This window comes from Homo sapiens, chromosome 22, assembly GCF_000001405.40.
Source record: "Homo sapiens chromosome 22, GRCh38.p14 Primary Assembly".
Lineage (NCBI taxonomy): Eukaryota > Metazoa > Chordata > Mammalia > Primates > Hominidae > Homo > Homo sapiens.
Genome location: NC_000022.11, coordinates 34,212,382 through 34,232,166, shown reverse-complemented (window position 1 = coordinate 34,232,166; position 19,785 = coordinate 34,212,382). Strand labels below are relative to the sequence as shown.

General features: G+C 40.1%; 1 long non-coding RNA gene across 22 annotated transcripts in view; it reads right to left on the bottom strand.

The window, feature by feature from the left end:
• Positions 1-13,370: 13,370 nt before the first annotated feature.
• The window catches only part of LINC01643 (long intergenic non-protein coding RNA 1643), a 201,365-nt gene continuing 194,950 nt past the window's right edge, over positions 13,371-19,785 (bottom strand). For 17 of the 22 annotated variants that reach the window (NR_183602.1, NR_183600.1, NR_183601.1 and 14 more), the window contains one exon: positions 13,371-13,659. This is a non-coding gene — a long non-coding RNA (long intergenic non-protein coding RNA 1643). Of the gene's footprint in view, positions 13,660-18,196; positions 18,356-19,785 lie in introns of all 22 variants that reach the window. The other 5 variants (NR_183585.1, NR_183589.1, NR_183598.1 and 2 more) reach the window with 2 other exon arrangements.

The window sequence follows — 19,785 nt, the reverse complement described above, 5'->3', positions numbered from 1 at the left end:
ATTTTTTAGTCTCAATTTTATTTCTCCTGTGATCTGTTTCTTTCCTATTACTAATTTTGTTTTTGCTTTGTTTTTCTAGTTCTTTGACGTGTAATATCAGATTGTTTATTTGAAGTCTCCCATTTTTTTGATGTAGGCATTTATTGCTACAAACCTCCCTCCTAGCACTGCTTGTGCTGCATCCCATAGATTTTGGTATACTGTATTTTCATGTTCATTTGTTTTAACATATGTTTCAATTTTATTCTTAATTTCTTCACTGACCCATTGGTTGTTTGGAAACAGGTTGTTTAATTTTCATGTGTTTGTGTAGTTTCTAAGGTTCTTTTTGATACTGATTTCTAGTTTTATTACATTGTGCTCAGAAAATATTTTATATAACATTATTATATATAATATTTTATATAATTTCTATCTTTTTGAGTTTGTTGAGACTTGTTTTCTGGTCTAAGAAATGGTCTATTCTGGAGAATGTTCCATGTGGTGAAGAAAATGTATATTCTGCAGCAGTTGGGTGAAATATTCTGCAAATGTCAGGTCTATTGGTCTAGTGTGTAGCACAACTCCAATGTTTGTCTATTTTCTGTCTGGATGATCTGTCCATTACTGAGACTGAGATGTTGAAGTCTCCTACTATCATTGTATTTCCGTCTATCTTTCCCTTTAAATCTATCAGTGTTTGCTTTATATTTTTAAATGCTCTAGTGTTGGGTGCATCGTAGACTTTAATCTTGATGCTGTAATTGGATAATATTTTGGAGAGTTTGGAGATGGGACAAGCATATTTTGCATGTGGGTGAAACGTAAACAATTTTGCAAAGGGAAAACTGTGGCAGATCACAAAGGTGGCCACAGATTCCTCTTCAAAAGACTTGTACACTGGGGTTTGCCCTTTCTCGCTTCTCTTGAAACCTGCCACCATTTGAATAAGCCTGGGCTAGCCTGCCATGTAAAGAACTCTGAGCTGGCCTGCTGGATGATGGCAGACATGTGGCACAGTCACCTTTATTGCTCTTAGCCAGCAAACTACCAGATACATGAAGCCAGCTGGCACTAGCCACCCTCCAGCCAACCTACCAATAACCAACAACCCTACAACTGAACGCAAACACATGAGCAAGCCCAGCTGAGATTCACTGAGTCCAACTAGTTCATATCCACCCAGCAGAAATGGGAGCAAAACTCCCTGATACATTCTAAATATCTATGATCTACTATTAACCATCTTGTCAGAAAGGTAACAATCCACTGGAATCAATTATACATGTTCTAATATAAAAACTTTAACAGTGGTTAGGTACATGCTCCATTAATACTTTATTTTGATGACTCCCCCTCATACATGAAAAAAAAAGTTTGCTCCTTTGTTTACCCTGCATAAAAATTCTATCGTCTTCTCTAACTAGACAGTAAACTCCATTAACAGGAAATGTGCTTAGTGGTTGATAGCTCAGACTTTGGAATATGACTATTTGGGTTCAAGTATCAATGCCACAAGTTCTATAAATTGGAGCAATTTACTTACCTCACTGTGTTTAATTTCCTCAGCACTGAAACAGGTTTTATAATGGTAATCACCTCTAGGACTGTGGAGGATTACAAGAGTCAATACATGTCATCTGCTTACATTGGTGTCTGGCATTATTTTAATAGAGAGTGATGTATATTACCATTATTTGATATCAAGATGAGTCTTAGCCAAGGCTGGGCACTCCTCACTGTGCTTTGAAGGTAACATATATCTATAAATAAATAATCAATAGAAGAGTTTGGGAATTCTAGGGCATTAATTAGACCATGAAGCATTGAAGCAAATGTAATATATTCATAAAGTTACCAGTATAAGGTATTTATATAATACTTTTGAGGATCTGAAGTATGCTCAGTCATTATCTTAACCAGTCCTGCCATCTGCCCTGCAAAGTTTTAAGCCTAAAATGGGTAGATAACTTTTTTCCAATATTGGTGCTTTGCTTTGATACCAGAATCTAATTCTCAGCGCAGGGGAAAAAAAAAAAACAGGAAAACAAATGCCCAAGGCTGACAAGAGCACCCCCGCCCCAAAGTTTACATCCCATCTTCCTCATAGAATCTGCCATGTGGTCTGTGGCTCTGCTTTTCACAAGACTTTTATCAAATCCTCAATCATTGGACAATCACGCAGTGCAAAATATTTGAAGGCAGAGCCACAATGGTGTTATTATGGAACAAAACTTGGGAATAAGTTCTTTATAAGCTAGTGCAAGTAAAATTTTCCTAATGAAAGAGGAAGAAATAACAAATTAGCAATTCCATGAAGAAAAGGAAGCTGCCTCAATGCAAAAAGTCATCTTCATCTCCTCAGATGTGACGTTTGTCAATCTCAAGTCACGTATGGATCCCAGTAGGAACGGGTAACATTGGAAAGTCAGGCATACCCATATAAATACCCATATTGATTTCATTGTTTCCTCTTGCAACCAGATATTTATAAAACGTGATTCTTGACTCTGCATCAGAATCTCCATGGAGTCAACTAAAAATTCTTATGCTGAGCCTCAATGCAGCCCTACCAAGTCAGTGTCCCTAAGGTGGAGAGGGCCTGGGAAGTGCCTCTCAACAATCTCCCCAGATGTACCCTGAGCACACTGATATGCAAGGTCAGGTGCTGGCTTGTGCTAGAATGGCAAGGAGCACCATTAAGAGATTTAAGTGAGGAGTCAGAGTGCCCCAAGTGTCCATTCTAAACAATGGCTTGCTGTGTTTCAGATGAGGGAGCTGGAAGAGGGAGAAGAGTGAGACAGAGAAACAGAGTCAGGGAGACAGAATGTCTATCTAGAACAGTTTTTTATTTCAAGACATAACACACCACATACTCAAACACATGCACTTACTTACCTGAAACAAAAGTTTCAGGAAAGAATACTTACTGAAACTACCTGACACAATTTGAGTATCTTCTATCCTTTATTATGTATTTTAAGAATCCTAGTAATATTCAAGGAAATTGTTTTATCCACCCACTAATGGATTTCAGAAAGCACTGGTGCAGAGAAATCAAGGGTGGTGGTGGTGGAAATAAAGACAGACAAGAATTATAAAAGCTTGAGCTTTTTCTACCACAAGAGCCAGTGATAGTTATGAATCAGAAAGAGGATATAATGGTATCTTTGCTCCCCCTGCCTCAGCAGTGACTGCTCTGTCCCTTTCATGAAATGGAAGTCAAGAATCCCCTAAGATAACTAATAGTCTTGGAAAAAACGAATTAAGAACAGGAATAGTAAGTAGTTAAGTAGACAAAAAACACACTAACCTAGGAGAAAATAGTAAAATAAAGGTAATTGTAGTTATTTGTAGAGATTCTTTGGTTTATACCAATGTTGCTCCTCATGTGGGGAAAAAACTATGCTTAAGTCAACATGAGTCTGCCAAAAGGAGAAAGGAAGTTGTGTACCTATAGCCAAAATACCTAGACTTCCCCAACATTCATTCAACAAATGTTTATTGAGTACCTAGTAGAGTTAGAGATACTGCAGTGGACAAAAGATACAAAATTCCCTGCCCTGCTGGAGCTCATATTCCAGTGGAATGAGACAGTTACCTTTTAATGAGTAAAATATATATGTTAGATGCTGGTCAGTGTTAAGGAAACAAGGAGGAAAGTGAGGTGAGGGTGTTAGGGGAGGCCCCACAATTTTAGATAGGGGTGACCAGAGAAGGTCTCACTTAAAAATGACTGTAGTGGATAAACGCCATCCCCCAAAAAGACACTGTTCTACTAGACCTAAGCCTAGGTAGCTGTGAATGTGACCTTATTTGGAAATAGTCTTTACAGTTGTAATCAAATGAAGATGCAGTCATTGGCCCCAAATCCAATGACTGGTGTTTTGTTTGTTTGTTTGTTTTGATGGATTCTCACTCTGTCACCCAGGCTGGAGTGTAGTGGCGCTATCTCAGCTCACTGCAACCTCTGCCTCCCAGGTTCAAGTGATTCTCCTGCCTCAACCTCCTAAATAGCTGGGATTACAGGCGCCTACCAACATGACTGGATAATTTTTGTATTTTTAGTAGAGACAGGGTTTCACCATGTTGGCCAGGCTGGTCTCAAATTCCTGACCTCAGGTGATCTGCCCACCTCAGCCTCCCAAAGTGCTGGGATCACAGGTATGAGCCACCAGGTGTAAGTTTATTAAGTCATACTTCGGGCACGTGGAGTCAGCAGATATGTTGGCGTGAGCCATCATGCCCAGCTTAGTGTTCTTATAAGAAGAAATTTGAATATAAACAGAGAGGAAAATGCCACCTGAAAACACAGAGAGACCCACAGAAAAAAAAAATGCCCATGTGGCAACAGAGGCTGAGATTGGAGTGATGGAGCTGCAGGCAGAGGAATGCCAAGGATTGCCAGCAAACCAGATGCTGGAAGAGGCCAAAAAGGATCCTCCCCTAAAGGTTTCCAAGAGAAACTGGTCCTCACAACAACTTGATTTCAGGTTTCTAAGCTCTGGAATTGTGAAATAACACATTTCCATTGTTTTAGGCCACTCAGTTTGTAGTACTCTGTTACAGAAACAAATACAGTGACATTTGAGATTATTTCCGAAGAGGGTATCCCATGTACCTACCTGGAGGGAAGCACATCTCAGGACAGGGGACAGCCAGTGCGAAGGCTGTGAGATAGGAGGGTGCCTGGCATGTCCAATGATGAGAATGAGGCCAGTGGGGCTAAACCAGAGTGAGCAAGGAATAGCAGAAGATGAGTTCAGAGAATGAATGGCGACCAATCAAGTTAGACCTTGGGGTTTGGTAAAAAGTTCGGTTTTTATTTTGAGTGAAAAGGGAAACTATTGCAGAGGTTTGGACAAAAGAGTGACTTGATCAAAAATAAAAATATTCTTTGGGCTTAAATATCATTATGAATACAGATTTAAATATATTCTGTAGTTATTCATTTTGCCAATAAATGCCTCATGAAGGTGGCTTCCATGTCTTCTTGACACATTGCCATAAAGTTATAATGGCTTCCTGGGTTCCAGGAAGATGATTTCAGGTACATCTTATTGTCTTTCCCAGACCTAGATACTTCTCTAGAGATTCCTAGTTGCTTTTATTGGGAAAGGTATTTAGAGACCACATTATGATTGCTAGGGGAGTTCACTGTTGCAGGGTACGTCACTGTATCTAGGCTCTATCAGTGGTTTGGGCTGGAACATAGGTGTGGTTGTCATTGTTGGTTTAAATGGAGAAATTCATTATGAATTGCTTAATGAATTCCAAGTCAAATTCGGGACTACAGAATTTTCACTTAATCTCTTCAATCTGACACTTTTATATCCTTTCCTCTACACTAATAATTCTGGTTCTCAATAAAGTAAGTACTTATCTCACAATGTTCACAAGTATCAGAATAATCAACAAGATCAGCACTACATCAACACTGACTACTGCAGATGCTTAAATTTATTTTATAGATATTTTTATCCACAGAGTATATCCCACTAGAGATGCAGTAAAATTACTGTGTTTCAAAATCACTTGAAATAATTCTCTATTTGGTTAGGCCATAATCCCAACACACACAGTTACGCTTATTTCTTTCACTTTGACTTCAATTTTTACAAATAGCTATTTTGTAAATTTGATTTTGCTTTGTGATTATGTAAAACATCTTCCTGGTTCCAGAGGTGAATCTATAAAGCCAGGCATATTCAGAGATATTTTGCTCCTTCCCCATCCTTCTTACCTTGTTTCTTCACTGACCTTATAGATATGTAATACCTTTTCTATTTGTTTTTGGTTTATCTCCCCATCATAAATATAAATATACATATATAATTTATTTATTCACCCCCACTTTAAGTCATGCATCTTTTTCTCCACTCTGTTTATTTGGTTTAATCCAGAATGTAATCTGAAGATCACTCCGCAGCTGTTTATAAGCACACTCCTTGTTACAGCTGTGAATATATCAAAGTTTAACTAGTGCCCTATTGATCTACATATACTTTTTTGCACTCTTTCATGCATCTTTTTGTCCAAGAGTATTTTTTGAGTCTCCTTTAAATTTTATGTAAATGTTAGATCTATAGACTACAGGAATCTCTAAAGACCAGTTTGGAGGCAACAGATGGAGAGAAATACACTTGGTTTATGTCTTATTTCAACTTAACAAGCGCTATCGATCCCATGCTACATCAAAAGCACTCTGCTACGTTATCATGGGAGACACCAAGATAAAGAGCACCATCCTGCCCTCAAGGGCCCCAAGTGGGTCAAAAAAAATAGACAAGTGTGTAATAAAGGGCAGAATGAGATCAGTGCTATAAAAGAAATAAAACGAGAAGATGAAGAAAATACAAGTAATGACTTACAGCTGGGAAGAATCAGATATTACTTCATAATGAAAGACCAATCCTTTTAAAAATTACAAAAAAATAATTGATCTAACATATGTAGAGAAGGATGAGCATTCCAGGAAGAATCAAGGGCACAAAGGAGAGGTCTGCTCAAGGGATATGCAAGCTCAAAAGTCAAGGGAGGCATTGAGAGGTGACATAAGGATAGAAACAGATAGAAATAATGTTAAGAACAGAGGCTTGAGAATTAAACACTGGAGTCCAAGCCCTGAACCTATCACTTACTCTGTGACCTTCAGCAAGTTCACACAACACGTGTTTATATGTGCTACCCTAGATCAGACATTGTGAGCTATCCCTTGTGCAGCTGAGTCCTAAAATAGAACTCTGCAGTGTCTGACATTGTTGATAACCTCATTTTTGAAACTCTCCACCTTGGACTTCTGAGTCAATCTCTCCAGTTCCAAAGATACCCTTCCTATTTTCTTCTCCTCTCACTGGCTGCCTTTCTCCTAAGGCCATAGAGAGACACAACCTCTGCAGAGGAGACCCAGCCTTTGTTCTCAGCACAGTATTCTTCTACCCCAGGTTCCCGCCTCCTCTGCTAGCGAACGTGTTGACTTCTATAGTAACCACCTCTGCTATATACACATCTCTTCCCCCAGACACCTCAAGATAACTTTCCCAAGCTTGGGATGCTGTTTTGCACCTGCAGCATCTCAGCCATCCTATAGATTATGTAAGTCACAGAAGTCTCCCCCATGCTTGTCTTGTCTTACTCCAGCACTACTTACTCTTTGTTGCCATGTCAAACGACTTCAGGCATTGTGATGTAAAGCTATGCTTCCTCTTTCCTCAGTAACAATAACAATAGCTGACATTTTAACACATATTCAGTACATATTTAATGAAGATCTATTTCGTGCCAGGCAATGTTCTGGGCACTGAGAATAAACAGTGAACAAAACAGACCAGGTGAGGCTGTTATAAATCGTGCAAAATATGCCAGGAATTCTGCTAAATATTTTATGTGGATCAGATAGTTGAAACCATTTTAACAACCTTCGCAGATAATTATTTTTGTTAGGCTTATTATGTAGGTAAATAAAATGAATGTTAAGTCAATTAACTAACTTGATAACTGAGTTTGTATCCTTCTTGTCCTCTGAGTAGTTGTCTAATTTTAGGCAAGTTTGTTATAACTGCTTTCTGACTCACTTTCCATATCTGGAAAACAGAGATTATAGTAACCACCTTATAGTGTTTCATGAGAAATAAATGAGCTCTTACCTGGAAAGAAAAGTAGAACAGTACCTGGCACATTCAATAAATGTTAGCAAGTATGACTGCATATTTCCACTCTTAGCATATGACATAACGTTCATCTGTTTAAGCATTTGGCCCATTAGATAGTGAGACTCTAAGGATCTGCATTTTAGTTTTTTCATCTCAAAATTCTCGTGTGGAAAACAGGGTTAATTGTACTTACTTTGCAGCTGAGTTACAGGATTAGCGACAGTGTTTATATAAAGTACTTAGTATAGTTCCTAAGATAGAGTAGGTACTCAGTAAATTTTCTACTCTTATTACTATCATCACTTAGTATTATTCTCTAGTGATTAGCACATTTCTAACAACAAAAAGATTGTTCAAAGAACATTTTGTGGATCACATAGAAATAAATGTGATAGAATTGCCTCAGAAGCACCCCCGTTGTCATTGGGACCTGAGGGATTACTATTGCCTCCCTCTGTTTCCTGAGTGGCAGGTCATCACTTGCTTTGGTTAACACTGAGTGGCAAGGGCTCATCCCTGCTAACTACTTAAAAGCTAATATTAGGTTTGCAAAAACTGCTTTTTAATAATCTTTAACGGCCCTCCAGGAAATCTCATTAGCAGACACCGAATCACTTGGGGCTGTGCAGAGGAAGGTTGGCACACATGGTCGGAGGTCGTCAGCTCCTATTCGGCTCTGATCAAAGGCAGAGCACGTACCATCTATGAGCTGCAAAGAGGCCCCTCCGCTAGATGTCTGAGAGCCATCTCTTCCCTTACCTTGTCCATCTTGTCTGGAGCCTCAGGCCTTCAGAGAAGAGTACTGCAGTCCCCTGCCAGCTGATCTAACAGATGCCAGTCTCGTCCTGCACAGCCAGATCCTCCCTGGTTTTAACAGGAGGCATCACTCCTCTGCTCAAACACCCACCATGGCTCCCTTTGCCTCTTCACAAACTCTGAGCTCTTAACCAGGAGCCACTTTCCACCTCCCTCACTTGCTCCTTGTGACTCCCCTACAATGAGTGACTATCCAAATCAAGAGAGTCAGGTTGCTTTGTCCCAGACAGAAACTTTGTACTGTTTCTTCCTGCTTCCGATCATTTTGCACATATAGTTCCCACTATCTGGATCACCACTACTCACTGCAGTTGTCCCTGTGGCAATGTAGGGGTGAAGAAACGGTTCAGGACATGGATGCTATAGATACGGATTCTTGTCCTAGCTTTACCCCTAAACAACTCTGAGAGAAGATAAATCACTCTCAGCCCCTATCTCTCCTCATTGTTCAAAATATTGCAGGGGTATTTCTAAACCTTGGTGATACTGACATTTAGGGCCAGATCATTCTTTCTTATTGGGATGAGAGTATTAGTCTGTTCTTGCATTGCTATAAACAAATACCTGAGACTGGGTAATTTTTAAGAAAACAGGTTTAATTGGCTCAGAGTTCTACAGGCTGTACAGGAAGCATGGCACCAGCATCTGCTTCTGGGGAGGCCTCAGGAAGCTTTTTCTCAGAGCAGAAGGCAAAGCAGGAGCCAGTACTTCACATGGTGAAAGCAGGAGCAAGAGAGAGGGTGGGAGGAGGTGCCACACACTTTTAAATGACCAGATCTCATGAGAACTCACTATCACAAAGACAGCACCAAGCTTGTCATGAGCTTATGATCTTATGAACCAACCTCCCACCAGGCCCCACCTCCAGCATGGGAATTACAATTTAACATGAGATTTGGGCAGGGATAAATATCCAAACTCTATCAAGGTGCTACCCTGTTCATTGTAGGATGTTGAGATGTACTTAGCTAATTCACCATCACATACCCAAAGAAGTGCTTCTATTGTCTCCATTTTAGAAATGAGGAAAATGAGTCACAGAAAAGTTAGATCACTTGCCCAAAGTCATAGGTCGGAATTCACTTCCAGGAAGCCTAGCTCCAGATTCCCTCTTCTGAATCCATAATGCCTCTTAGAATAAGCAGGTACTTTGAAATAAGAAAGACTGATATTTATATTCCAGCTTTAGCACCTATGAGCTTCAGCGTTTTGGACAAGCTGCAGCTCTGATTTCTTCAGTCAGTAAAATGGAGATAATAATACCTATGTCGTGAGACTGAAGTTTAAAAATAACACATATAAAGCTCCTAGGATAGAGTCGACCTATAGAAGATGCTTAATGCAAAGGACTGGTGGTGATGGTGATTGAGATAAAAAAGTGAGGGTAACCGGAGGGAAGAAACTATAAAATCCTTAAAAAAAATAGGTCAGCCCACGACTTTTTTCTTCTTTATATTTCCAGGGTTTGGACAGTGCCTTGCATAGAGGAGATAGTGTATCTCTGTCTTTTCAGGATCCTGTATTATGGCTTGGCAAACTACATCTCACAGACCAAGCTGGCCCACCATTTATTTTTGTTAATAAAGCTTTATTGGAACACAGCCATGCCTGTTCATTTATACATTATCTATGGCTGTTTTTGCACTACAGTGGCAGAGCCAAGCAGTTGTGACGGAGACTTATGGCCAACAAAGCCAAAACGATTGGCTATTGAGCCCTTCACAAAAAAGGTGTGTCTCCCTTTAAATTATAATTTGGATTGAAACACACCAAATGTGAAAATCTCCAATATCCCCTCCTGGATCAAAAACATTCTGTGATTTTTCTGAGTTCCCAACTCCAAGCTTACGTCTTGCATATTACCTTCTATAATTGACCTCACCCAGCTCAAGCTTCGCTGATTATTCTCTCTCATTGCCTCCCTTACACCCCAGATGAAGGCACTGCACTATTAATTTGCACCATCTCTCATGTTGTCAATTTGAAGGTGTCCCACAATTGCTTTCAGCAGTTGTTTCTGCAGACAAACCCCCAGTGCTTGCTCTAGGCTGGTGCCAAGGGCTGCCGCCTGAAGCTTGCTGACAGCCCAGCTGCTAACCTCCAGGTCAGAGAAATGATACCAACTTCACAATCAGAGGGAATAAGACAGAAGACTCAGGTGGGCCCACACTGGGCTCAACCTTTTGCTTCTTGATTTTTCCCCTGTCCTTCCTCATGGTTCCAGACCTGATTGTTAAGTACTACCATGCCTCTCAAAAGCTGTCTCTCTTAACCAGGTCTGATAGGACAAAGCTATCTTTCAAGAAGAACTCAAAAACTGTAGAGGGGAATAAAACAATTTTTAAAAATAAAGAAAAAAGTTGAGTCAAACTTTTGCTTCCTAGGGACTTTTACTTTATTTTATTTATTTTTGAGACAGGGTCTCACTCTGTCACCCAGGCTGGAGTGCAGTGGCACAGTCTTGGCTCCTTGGCCTCCTGGGCTCAAGCGATCCTACCTCACCCTCCTGAGTAACTGGGACTATAGGTGCACACCACCACTCCGGGGCTAATTTTTTTGTATTTTTGGTAGAGATGGGTTTCACCATGTTTCCCAGGCTGGTTTTGAACTCCTGGGCTCAAGCAGTCTCCCAACCTCCGCCTCCCAAAGTGTTGAGATTACAGGCAGGAGCCACCGCGCCCAGCTTAACTTCTAAATTAGCATTCAACTCAGAAATTCCAGTACTCCAAGCATTCACAAAGCAACGGTATTAGTCTATTTTCACGCTGCTGATACAGACATACCCGAGACTGGGCAATTTATAAAAGAAAGAAGTTTAATTGGACTTACAGTTCCATGTGGCTGGGGAAGCCTCATAATCATGGCAGCAGCCATAGAGAAGCAGGCAAAACGGAGGAGGCAAAGAGAGCTTGCGCGGGAAAACTCCACCTTATAAAGCCATCAGATCTCGTGAGACTTATTCACTGTCAGGAGAACAGCATGAGCGAGACCTGCCCCCAATTCAATTATCTCCTACCGGATCCCTCCCACAACACGTGGGAATTATAGGAGTATAATTCAAGATGAGATTTCGGTGGGGACACAGCCAAACCATATCAGTAACTGATAGTTACAGATACCAGTTTAACAAACCTAGGTCAGGACCACTTACCAGCTATGTGACAATGAGGCATCCTAAGTGCTTCTCTCTTCATTAGAGAAGAAATTCTTCCCAGAAACATCCTGAAACTTCTTCTTTAGCCCTACTGGCCTGTGCAGACTTATATGTTCTTGCCATATCTGCAAGGGGAGTCTGAGAAAGCGGGCAGTTATGTTCAGTTTCTGTTGTGAAAGGTGGTCTCTCCCAGAAGAGAGTGAGAGGAATGGAAACTGAGCAGGAGCCATCAGTGCTTGCAGTAGTGAGTTACTACCATCTGAAAATATGTGGCCGGGCGCGGGGACTCATGTCTGTAACCTCAGCATTTTGGGAGGCCGAGGTGGGTGGATCACCTGAGATCAGGAGTTCGAGACCAGCCTGGCCAACATGGTGAAACCCCGTCTCTACTAAAAATACAAAAATTAGCTGGGCATGGTGGCGGGCACCTGTAATCCCAGCTACTCAGGAGGCTGAGGCAGGAGAATCGTTTGAACCCAGGAGGCGGAGGTTGCAGCGAGCTGAGATCGCGCCATTGCATTCCAGCCTATGCAATAAGAGCGAAACTCCATCTAAAAATAAAAGTAATAAAACATCTTCTTTCTATATACAACAATGTATATCACTGTTTGCAAATGTCAGGTACCCAGAGGGCCCACCCTTTGAGCCCACTTTCATTTTTTGCTCCAAAAAGGACAGGGGTCTCTTCTTTCTAACGGGTGCTCTCTTACCCTTCAAAAGGCTTGAACTTTCTAACAGATTCCTCGGGTCGCCTCCCCATTGAGTGATGAGAGTAGCATATGCTGGGAATGGGTTAGGAAGGTAAGAAAGGAGGAGGGTACCTGAATACTCACAGTTCCCATGTATCACGCACTCTGTAATTAACTTTCCCTGTGAGATTTTATCTCATTCTCATCTCAACTCTATGAGGTAGACATAATCATCACCAGTCACTCCTCCACTAGAATGAGGCAGGTGTGATGCCCAAGGCTACACATTTAAGAAACCACTCTTTCTCAGGGTTATGCCTATGGTATCCCTGCACTGATATAACCTAGAGAGTTAGTGCCTCCTTAAATTTTGCTCACTAGGCTCCTCACTGGCCTGAACCTCATCTGGCTGTGATCATCACCCTTGTATAGTGAGAGGATCAGAGAGGTCGTAGCTTATCCAAAATTATATTTCTGAAAACCGACAGAGCTGTGATTGAAACCCAGTTTGCCTGACTCCAGAGAACTTGCCCTTTAACACTAGGTGATGCTGTTTTGAGTATGAGTGAGGCAGGTACCATGGAAACAGGGAGAGGGTATCACATGGAATCTGTTCAAAGAGCTGGGACCAACTGCTGGACAACATATCTCAGGAAACAGGACTCCACCCCATTGAGTACTCATCCTTCATGAGCCACATGTTGACCACAGCTGGTAGAAGGCAGCTGCCTTACTTCCCTGGCTCCCTGTCAGCCCCACCCATGCTCCATCCCCTTTTGCGCCATTCTTCTTGGGCAGCATTTACTGTCCCCCCCTGGTGGAATACGCCACAAGTCTCCCTTCACACTCCTGAATCCTGCTTTCAGATAATTAATTGAAAGTCTGAAATAGATCTTTACCCAACAACTCCCTAGTGTCACTCAGTAAGAGCTCTTCTACCAACTGGATACCTTGTTGTTTGGCACATCTTAGTTTAGATTTTCTGCATGGCAGGTATTGAGGAAACTGATATAGGGGCCAAGGGAAAACTTCCCCTTCACTCTCTGAAGGTTCACTGAAAATCACTGACAAAAGGCAGACTTATAGGAGAAAAGGCATGCATATTTATTTGATCATAGTTTTACATAACATGGGAGCCTTCAGAATGACGACCCAAAGATACAGGGAAAACTTTCCATTTTGTGCTTAGGTTCAACAAAGTATGGACAGCCATGCAGAAATATGACTGGACAAAAGGCAAATGATCGAATGCTAACAGAGTGGAGAAATCCAGCAAGGGCTGTCTGTCTAGATTCTTCTTAGATTCTCTGTGCAATAGTTCTTCCTTCTGGTTATAGGGTAGGGCCCTCTGGAATTAGGGTCTTATGACCTACAACCAAACAAGATAAGCCAGATAATTTCTTTACAGCCAATTTTTACACAGAAAGGTAGAGGGAAGTTATAATACTATTTTTAGGTTTTATGGCTGGCTTTGAGGAAAAAGTTCTGGTTTCTATGTCCTGCCTTGGGGAAGAGAGATTCTAGTTTCTATGGGTCATCTCAGGGAAGAATGAGGAGTCAGAGGCAGGAGGGTGGGAGAAAGTCACAGAAAAATGTTTGCTTCTGAGACTTTCATTGTGTGGTACTGCTTTTTGAGCCCTACCACTGAGTAGCAGAGTTCTTTATCACATTCAGGTGAATTTCACAGGACAGTTTATCTAGTTGTGCCTGTGTTCTAGTAAATCTTAAGCATACTGAGTATAGATAGAAATTCATCTGTCTCCTAGAAAAGAGGAAAAGATTCAAATTGTGTTTAATAAGAGTATTTGTCAATCAAATATTAAATAGAGATGAGGCACTGTGCTAGTCTCCACCAAGGACACAAGGACATAAGTACTGAGCTATTCAGGCTCTGCCCTCCCTCTAATTTGTGGTCAATTAATTTCTTCTGATAGGTCCATTCTATCAAACACCTGGAGACCAAATCTTTTTTTTCTTTGAGACTAACTCTCTCTTGTCGCCCAGGCTGGAGTGCAATGGCGCAATCTCAGCTCACTGCAACCTCCTGATCTCAGCTCACTGCAACCTCCTGATCTCAGCTCACTGCAACCTCTGCTTCCAAGGTTCAAGCAACTCTCCTGCCTTAGCCTCCTGGGTAGCTGGGATTACAAGTGCCTGCCACCACACCTGGCTAATTTTTGTATTTTTAGTAGAGACAGGGTTTCTCCATGTTGGCCAGGCTGGTCTGGAACTCCTGACCTCAGGCAATCTACCCACCTCAGCCCCCCAAAGTGCTGGGATTACAGGCGTGAGCCACCGCACCAGGCTGAGACCAATTTTTACTACCCTCCAAATCTATCCAGGCCCTGACTTCAGCTTTTATTCCCCTGGAATTGCAAGTATATTCTACCAGGGGGACACCAAATGCCACCCAAGATGAATGGAACAAAAGGGGAGGGAGCCATGGGTGGGGCTGACAGGGAACCAGCGAGGTAAGGCAGCTTCCTTCTACCACCTGTGGTTGACATGTGGCCCTTGATAGATGAGCATTCAATGCAGTGAAGTCTTGTTTCTTGAAGTGTGTTGTCCACCAGTTGGTCCCAGCTCTTTGAACAAATTCCATGTGATACTCTCACTCTGTTTTTATGGTACCTGCCTCAATCAGACTCAAAGCAGTTGCACCCAATGTTTAAGGGCAAGTTCTCTGGAGTCACGCAAACTGGATTTCAATCACAGTTCTGTCAGTTTTCAGAAATATAATTTTGGATAAGCTACGACCTCTCTGATCCTCTCACTATACAAGGGTGATGATCACGGTCAGATGAGGCTGAGGCCAGTGAGGAGCCTAGCAAGCAAAATTTAAGGAGGTACTAACTCTCTAGGTTATATCAGTGCAGGGATTCCATGGGCACAACCCTGTAAAACAGTGCTTCCTTAAATTTAGCCCTAGGCATCACACTTGGCTCATCATATGAAGTAGAATTTAGCCTTATCATTCAACAATCAAGCCTCTACCTTATGTCTCAAATTTAAGAAGCAGATCTCAGTCATACCCCACCAAAGCTCACACATTTCCTGACTTAACCCCTCTCCTATCCCTGGGTAGACCTCATGGTGTAATGGAAAGAACCTGGAGTTGGAGGGAGGGAGGTCCACCTGGGAAAGCCTGAGCTGAAACAGAAAGTTTCTTGGTCTAAATACACCCTGTTGATACTAGTTAATGCTCAGATCACACAGATCACATGCCAGGGACTACTCTAAGTGCTTTATGTGGATTGACTCATTGAATCCTCACAGAAGCTCTAAGAGGCAGGCATGGTTATTATGCCTGTCTGATCAATGAAGAGATGTAAGGCACATGGAGGTTAAATTTCTTGTCCAAGATGTTACAACTAGAGAGTTGTGGAGCCAGGACAGCCTGGAAGTCCAGCTTAAGAGACTGTCCTCATAATGATGATGCTTCACTGCTACTCAGATAGAAGTGTTAAGGGTAATGACAACAAAAATAAAAATGGGGACGTATTTTATTGCAATAAAAGATAATTCCAAGGTGCCACAAAGAGTGAATTTAAAGACAAAGAGGTGGCCAGGCGTGGTGGCTCATGCCTGTAATCCCAGCACTTTGGGAGGCCGAGGCAGGCAGATCATGAGGTCAAGAGATCAAGACTAACCTGGCCCACATGGTGAAGCCCCATCTCTACTAAAACTACAAAAATTAGCTGGGTGTGGCGGCGCACACCTGTAGTCCCAGCTACTTGGGAGGCCGAGGCAGGAGAATCGCTTGAACCCGGGAGGTAGAGGTTGCAGTGAGCCGAGATCATGCCAATGCACTCCAGCCATGGTGACAGAGACTCTGTCTCAAAAAAAAAAAAAAAAAAAGATGAAGAGGTGATCAGGCATTGAGATAAATATCCAAATTGGTATTAGAACAAAAATTGGGCCTTAGGGGCTGGGACCAGTGTTTTGATACCCACCCAGGAGCAGGAACTAAGATCTCAGGCCTGCTTAAGGCAGAACCCTGGAACTACTCTCACTCCATAAAGGGCATAGCCTGACTTGTTGTTCTGTCCATGAGACAGGTGTTAGAAAAACAGCCCTGACTTTTATCTCCAGATGAAATAGATGACCAAAGAAATCTTTCTGACACAGAATTCATTAAAATTCTGAATAAAATATAAAAACTAAGGAAATCTCCAGAGGTTTGAAAGGAGGGAAAATATAGTTCAGAATGAAAATTATTATTTTTTTCTAAGACTATCTACCAATTTCTGGGGACCTACAACTTAAGATTTAACAAACCATGCACCCGAAAGAATGGTAGACAAAACTTAGGACTTTCTCAGAGGGGACGTTGAATTAAGAACCCATAAGTTAAAACAAGATCGTCATAGTGATTTAGGAGAAATAAAATAGAACCATAAATCTGCTTTTCAGAAAGCAATGTGGGAATGTTTGCTTTTTTCTGGATAAAGTAGATTAAGACCTCCCAAAGAATTTCTACCCACAAGCCCAGCTGCACATAAGTTTGGGTTCAGAATTCACATGTGAATATAATCCAAAAAAAATTCCAAACCAAAAATGTAGTTGAAAGTAGTCCAGTGTTTTAGTAATGCAGAATATAAGTAAAATCCTCTTTTGAGGAGTGTACTTTAACTCAGGTCTGTGAGGAATAACATTCCATGAAATATGTACTCACAGTAACAAATTACATAATGTATAGAAGCAAGTCACCATGATTAAGACTAAAAACAAGAATAACAACAAAACCCAGATTGCAGAACTGACTCATAAAGATGATCAGTCTTGGAATTAACATAGGCAAGAAAAAAAATTAGGATAGATAACATATTTAAAGAAATAAGCATTGAAAGTATGAAAAAAGATATCCTCTTTCTTCCCAAAAGAAACTATCAAAATTCGTCAGAAAAAAATGGAAAAAAATCAAATGGAACTTTTAGAAATAATAAATGAATAAATGAGAATTACAAACTATGAACAAATTAGAGGGCATGTTATATAGAGATGATGACAATCTTGATGAACTGGAAGATAGGTTTAATTAATTACCAAGATAGCAGTCAAGAAAGACAGAAAACAACAAATGTGAAAAAGAATTCAGGAGTCATAAAGTGTAGAGCAAGATGGTCTAACAATAATTAATTGGTGTTCAAAAGGAGATAATGGAAAGACTAGAGAAAAGGAGGTCATATTTTAAAAGGTCATTATCTGAAAAATTTTCAAAATCACTGAAAGGTATTACTTGGTAGGTACAGAATATAATAAATCTCAGAAATCAAAAATTCATATTACTGTCAAAAGGCCTGTAGACTGCTGACTTCTCATCCCCAAAAATGGAGACAAGAAGACAATGGAATAGTAAGTACTAAAAAAAAAAATTATCAATCTAGAATATATGTATTCAAAGAAGCCATCTTTCAAGAACAAGGGTTAAATCATTTTTAAAGGAAAACAAAAAATAATAATATTTAGTGCCAAGAAACCAAAATTTTCACTTCAAAAAGAAGAAAAGCAAGCTTCAAAAGAGGCAGGAGATTAAAGGAAGGATAGCAAGGGGAAAAAAGTAAATATGGATAAATATAAACAATCTTAGAATGTGGAAAGGAATAAAATTATGCCTTATTTGTGATGTTAAACAAGAACTAAAATAAACATCATTTTTATCATTTGAGGGCAAGCAGCATAAAACATTCTATAGTTCTTTAATTGTGCAAGAAGATAAACTTTAGATTTGTTTAAAGTTAAATATACATGTGAAAACTTCCAGCGTAACTGCTAGAAGAAGAGAAAGTAATACCTTTAATATTAGTCACCAGAAAAATAGAATATGGTAAATCTCGATTCACAGATGGCACAAAAGGAGATAAATTATAGACACAGAAATTTCAAACAAAAATAAAACACATTACCTTTACTTTCTTCTACTACTTGGAGAAAGAACAAGGAAACTTGTTGATCACCTTAGCTAGAGGAAGAGAAAGTCATCACTGAGTAGTTAGTGCTCCAATTCTGTGCCATGAAGCATGGAATCCAAATTAACACTGTCCATGTTGTTCAGGAACTCCAAACTAGAAAATGTGTGAAGAAGTTGGTCCAGACAGGTGAATTCAATAAGTCCTCCATACAGGCAAATGCTAAACTACTCAATAGGACGTCTCCATAAATCAGGACATATATAATAGAATTTACAAAGGAAAATAAGTGCCACTACAGATGAGCTTGTAGTAAAAAATTACAAACTTCGAAATGACTAAATTTCAGTGAGTGCTGTCAGACACAGCAAATGTTGGAGTCACACCCTGGGAACCATGAATAATAATAATAATAACTAACAGCACTATTTTGTAGATATGGTAACTCAGTGTCAGGGAAATTTATCTGTCTTTCTAGCCATCGGTACGTTACATTTTACCCAGCATTCTGACAAGTTTGGAGCCAAGGATAGATTGGGATGGGCTTTCAAGTTAAGTATGTTTAAAATATTCAAAGAGATGAGGGAAGAAAGAGAGTCAGTAATTTAATGGCACAGTGAAAAAAAAAAATACCAGCAGATTTGAGGAAGAACCAAATACAAATTGTGGCACTGAAACATATAGTAATAGAATAAATAGATAGGCCAAATGGTAAATTTCTAACTAAATTTCAGTTATACCACCTATTAGCTATCCTTGGGTTGAGTAAGTTTATTTCTCTGGGCCTTAGTTTCCACATTTATAAAATGGTCTCATAATATATAGCTCATAAAGTTACTGTAGAATTTAAATGAATATGCAAAGACTGGCATATAGTTGGTCTTAACCTTGTTCCTTTTTCATACTTCTGCCTGGTGTTTTGTTTAATAATTGATACTTGAATTTTCCACTACTAGATTGTAAGTTTTTCACAAGCAAGGTCTAGTACAAAGTTTGCATATAGAAGGTTCCGGATAAATACAATTTTATATGATAAAATATTATTAAACACACATAATATAAGGAAAGTAAAATATATTTTAAAATAAAAATAAAGAGAAAATCCAGGTAGAAAATGAAATAAATCTAGGAGAAATGTCAGTATCCAAATACACTAACAAATTCTGAACAATTGTCCCAAATTTGGATTTACAGTTCCTGGAATTCAGCCATACCTAGGTAGATCCAGAGTCAACAAGCTTTTTCTGTCAAAGACCAGAGAGTAAATATTTTAGGCTTTGCAGGTAATATAGTCTCTGTTGCAACTACTCAATTCTGCCATTATAGTGCCAAAGCAGGCACAGACAATATGTAAATAAATAAGCATGGCTTTGTTCCAATAAAACTTTATTCATAAAAACAGGCTGCAGACTGGATTCAGCCCACAGGACTTAGTTCGTCCAATTCTAAGATAGGCTACATTTTCTCTATACTCTTTTGCCATTTAGTCCCCACTTTTATTAGTTCTTATCACATGATATGGACATTAAAAATATATAATGGCCTCCACAATTAGATCATGAATTTCTCCAGATTAGGAACATGAA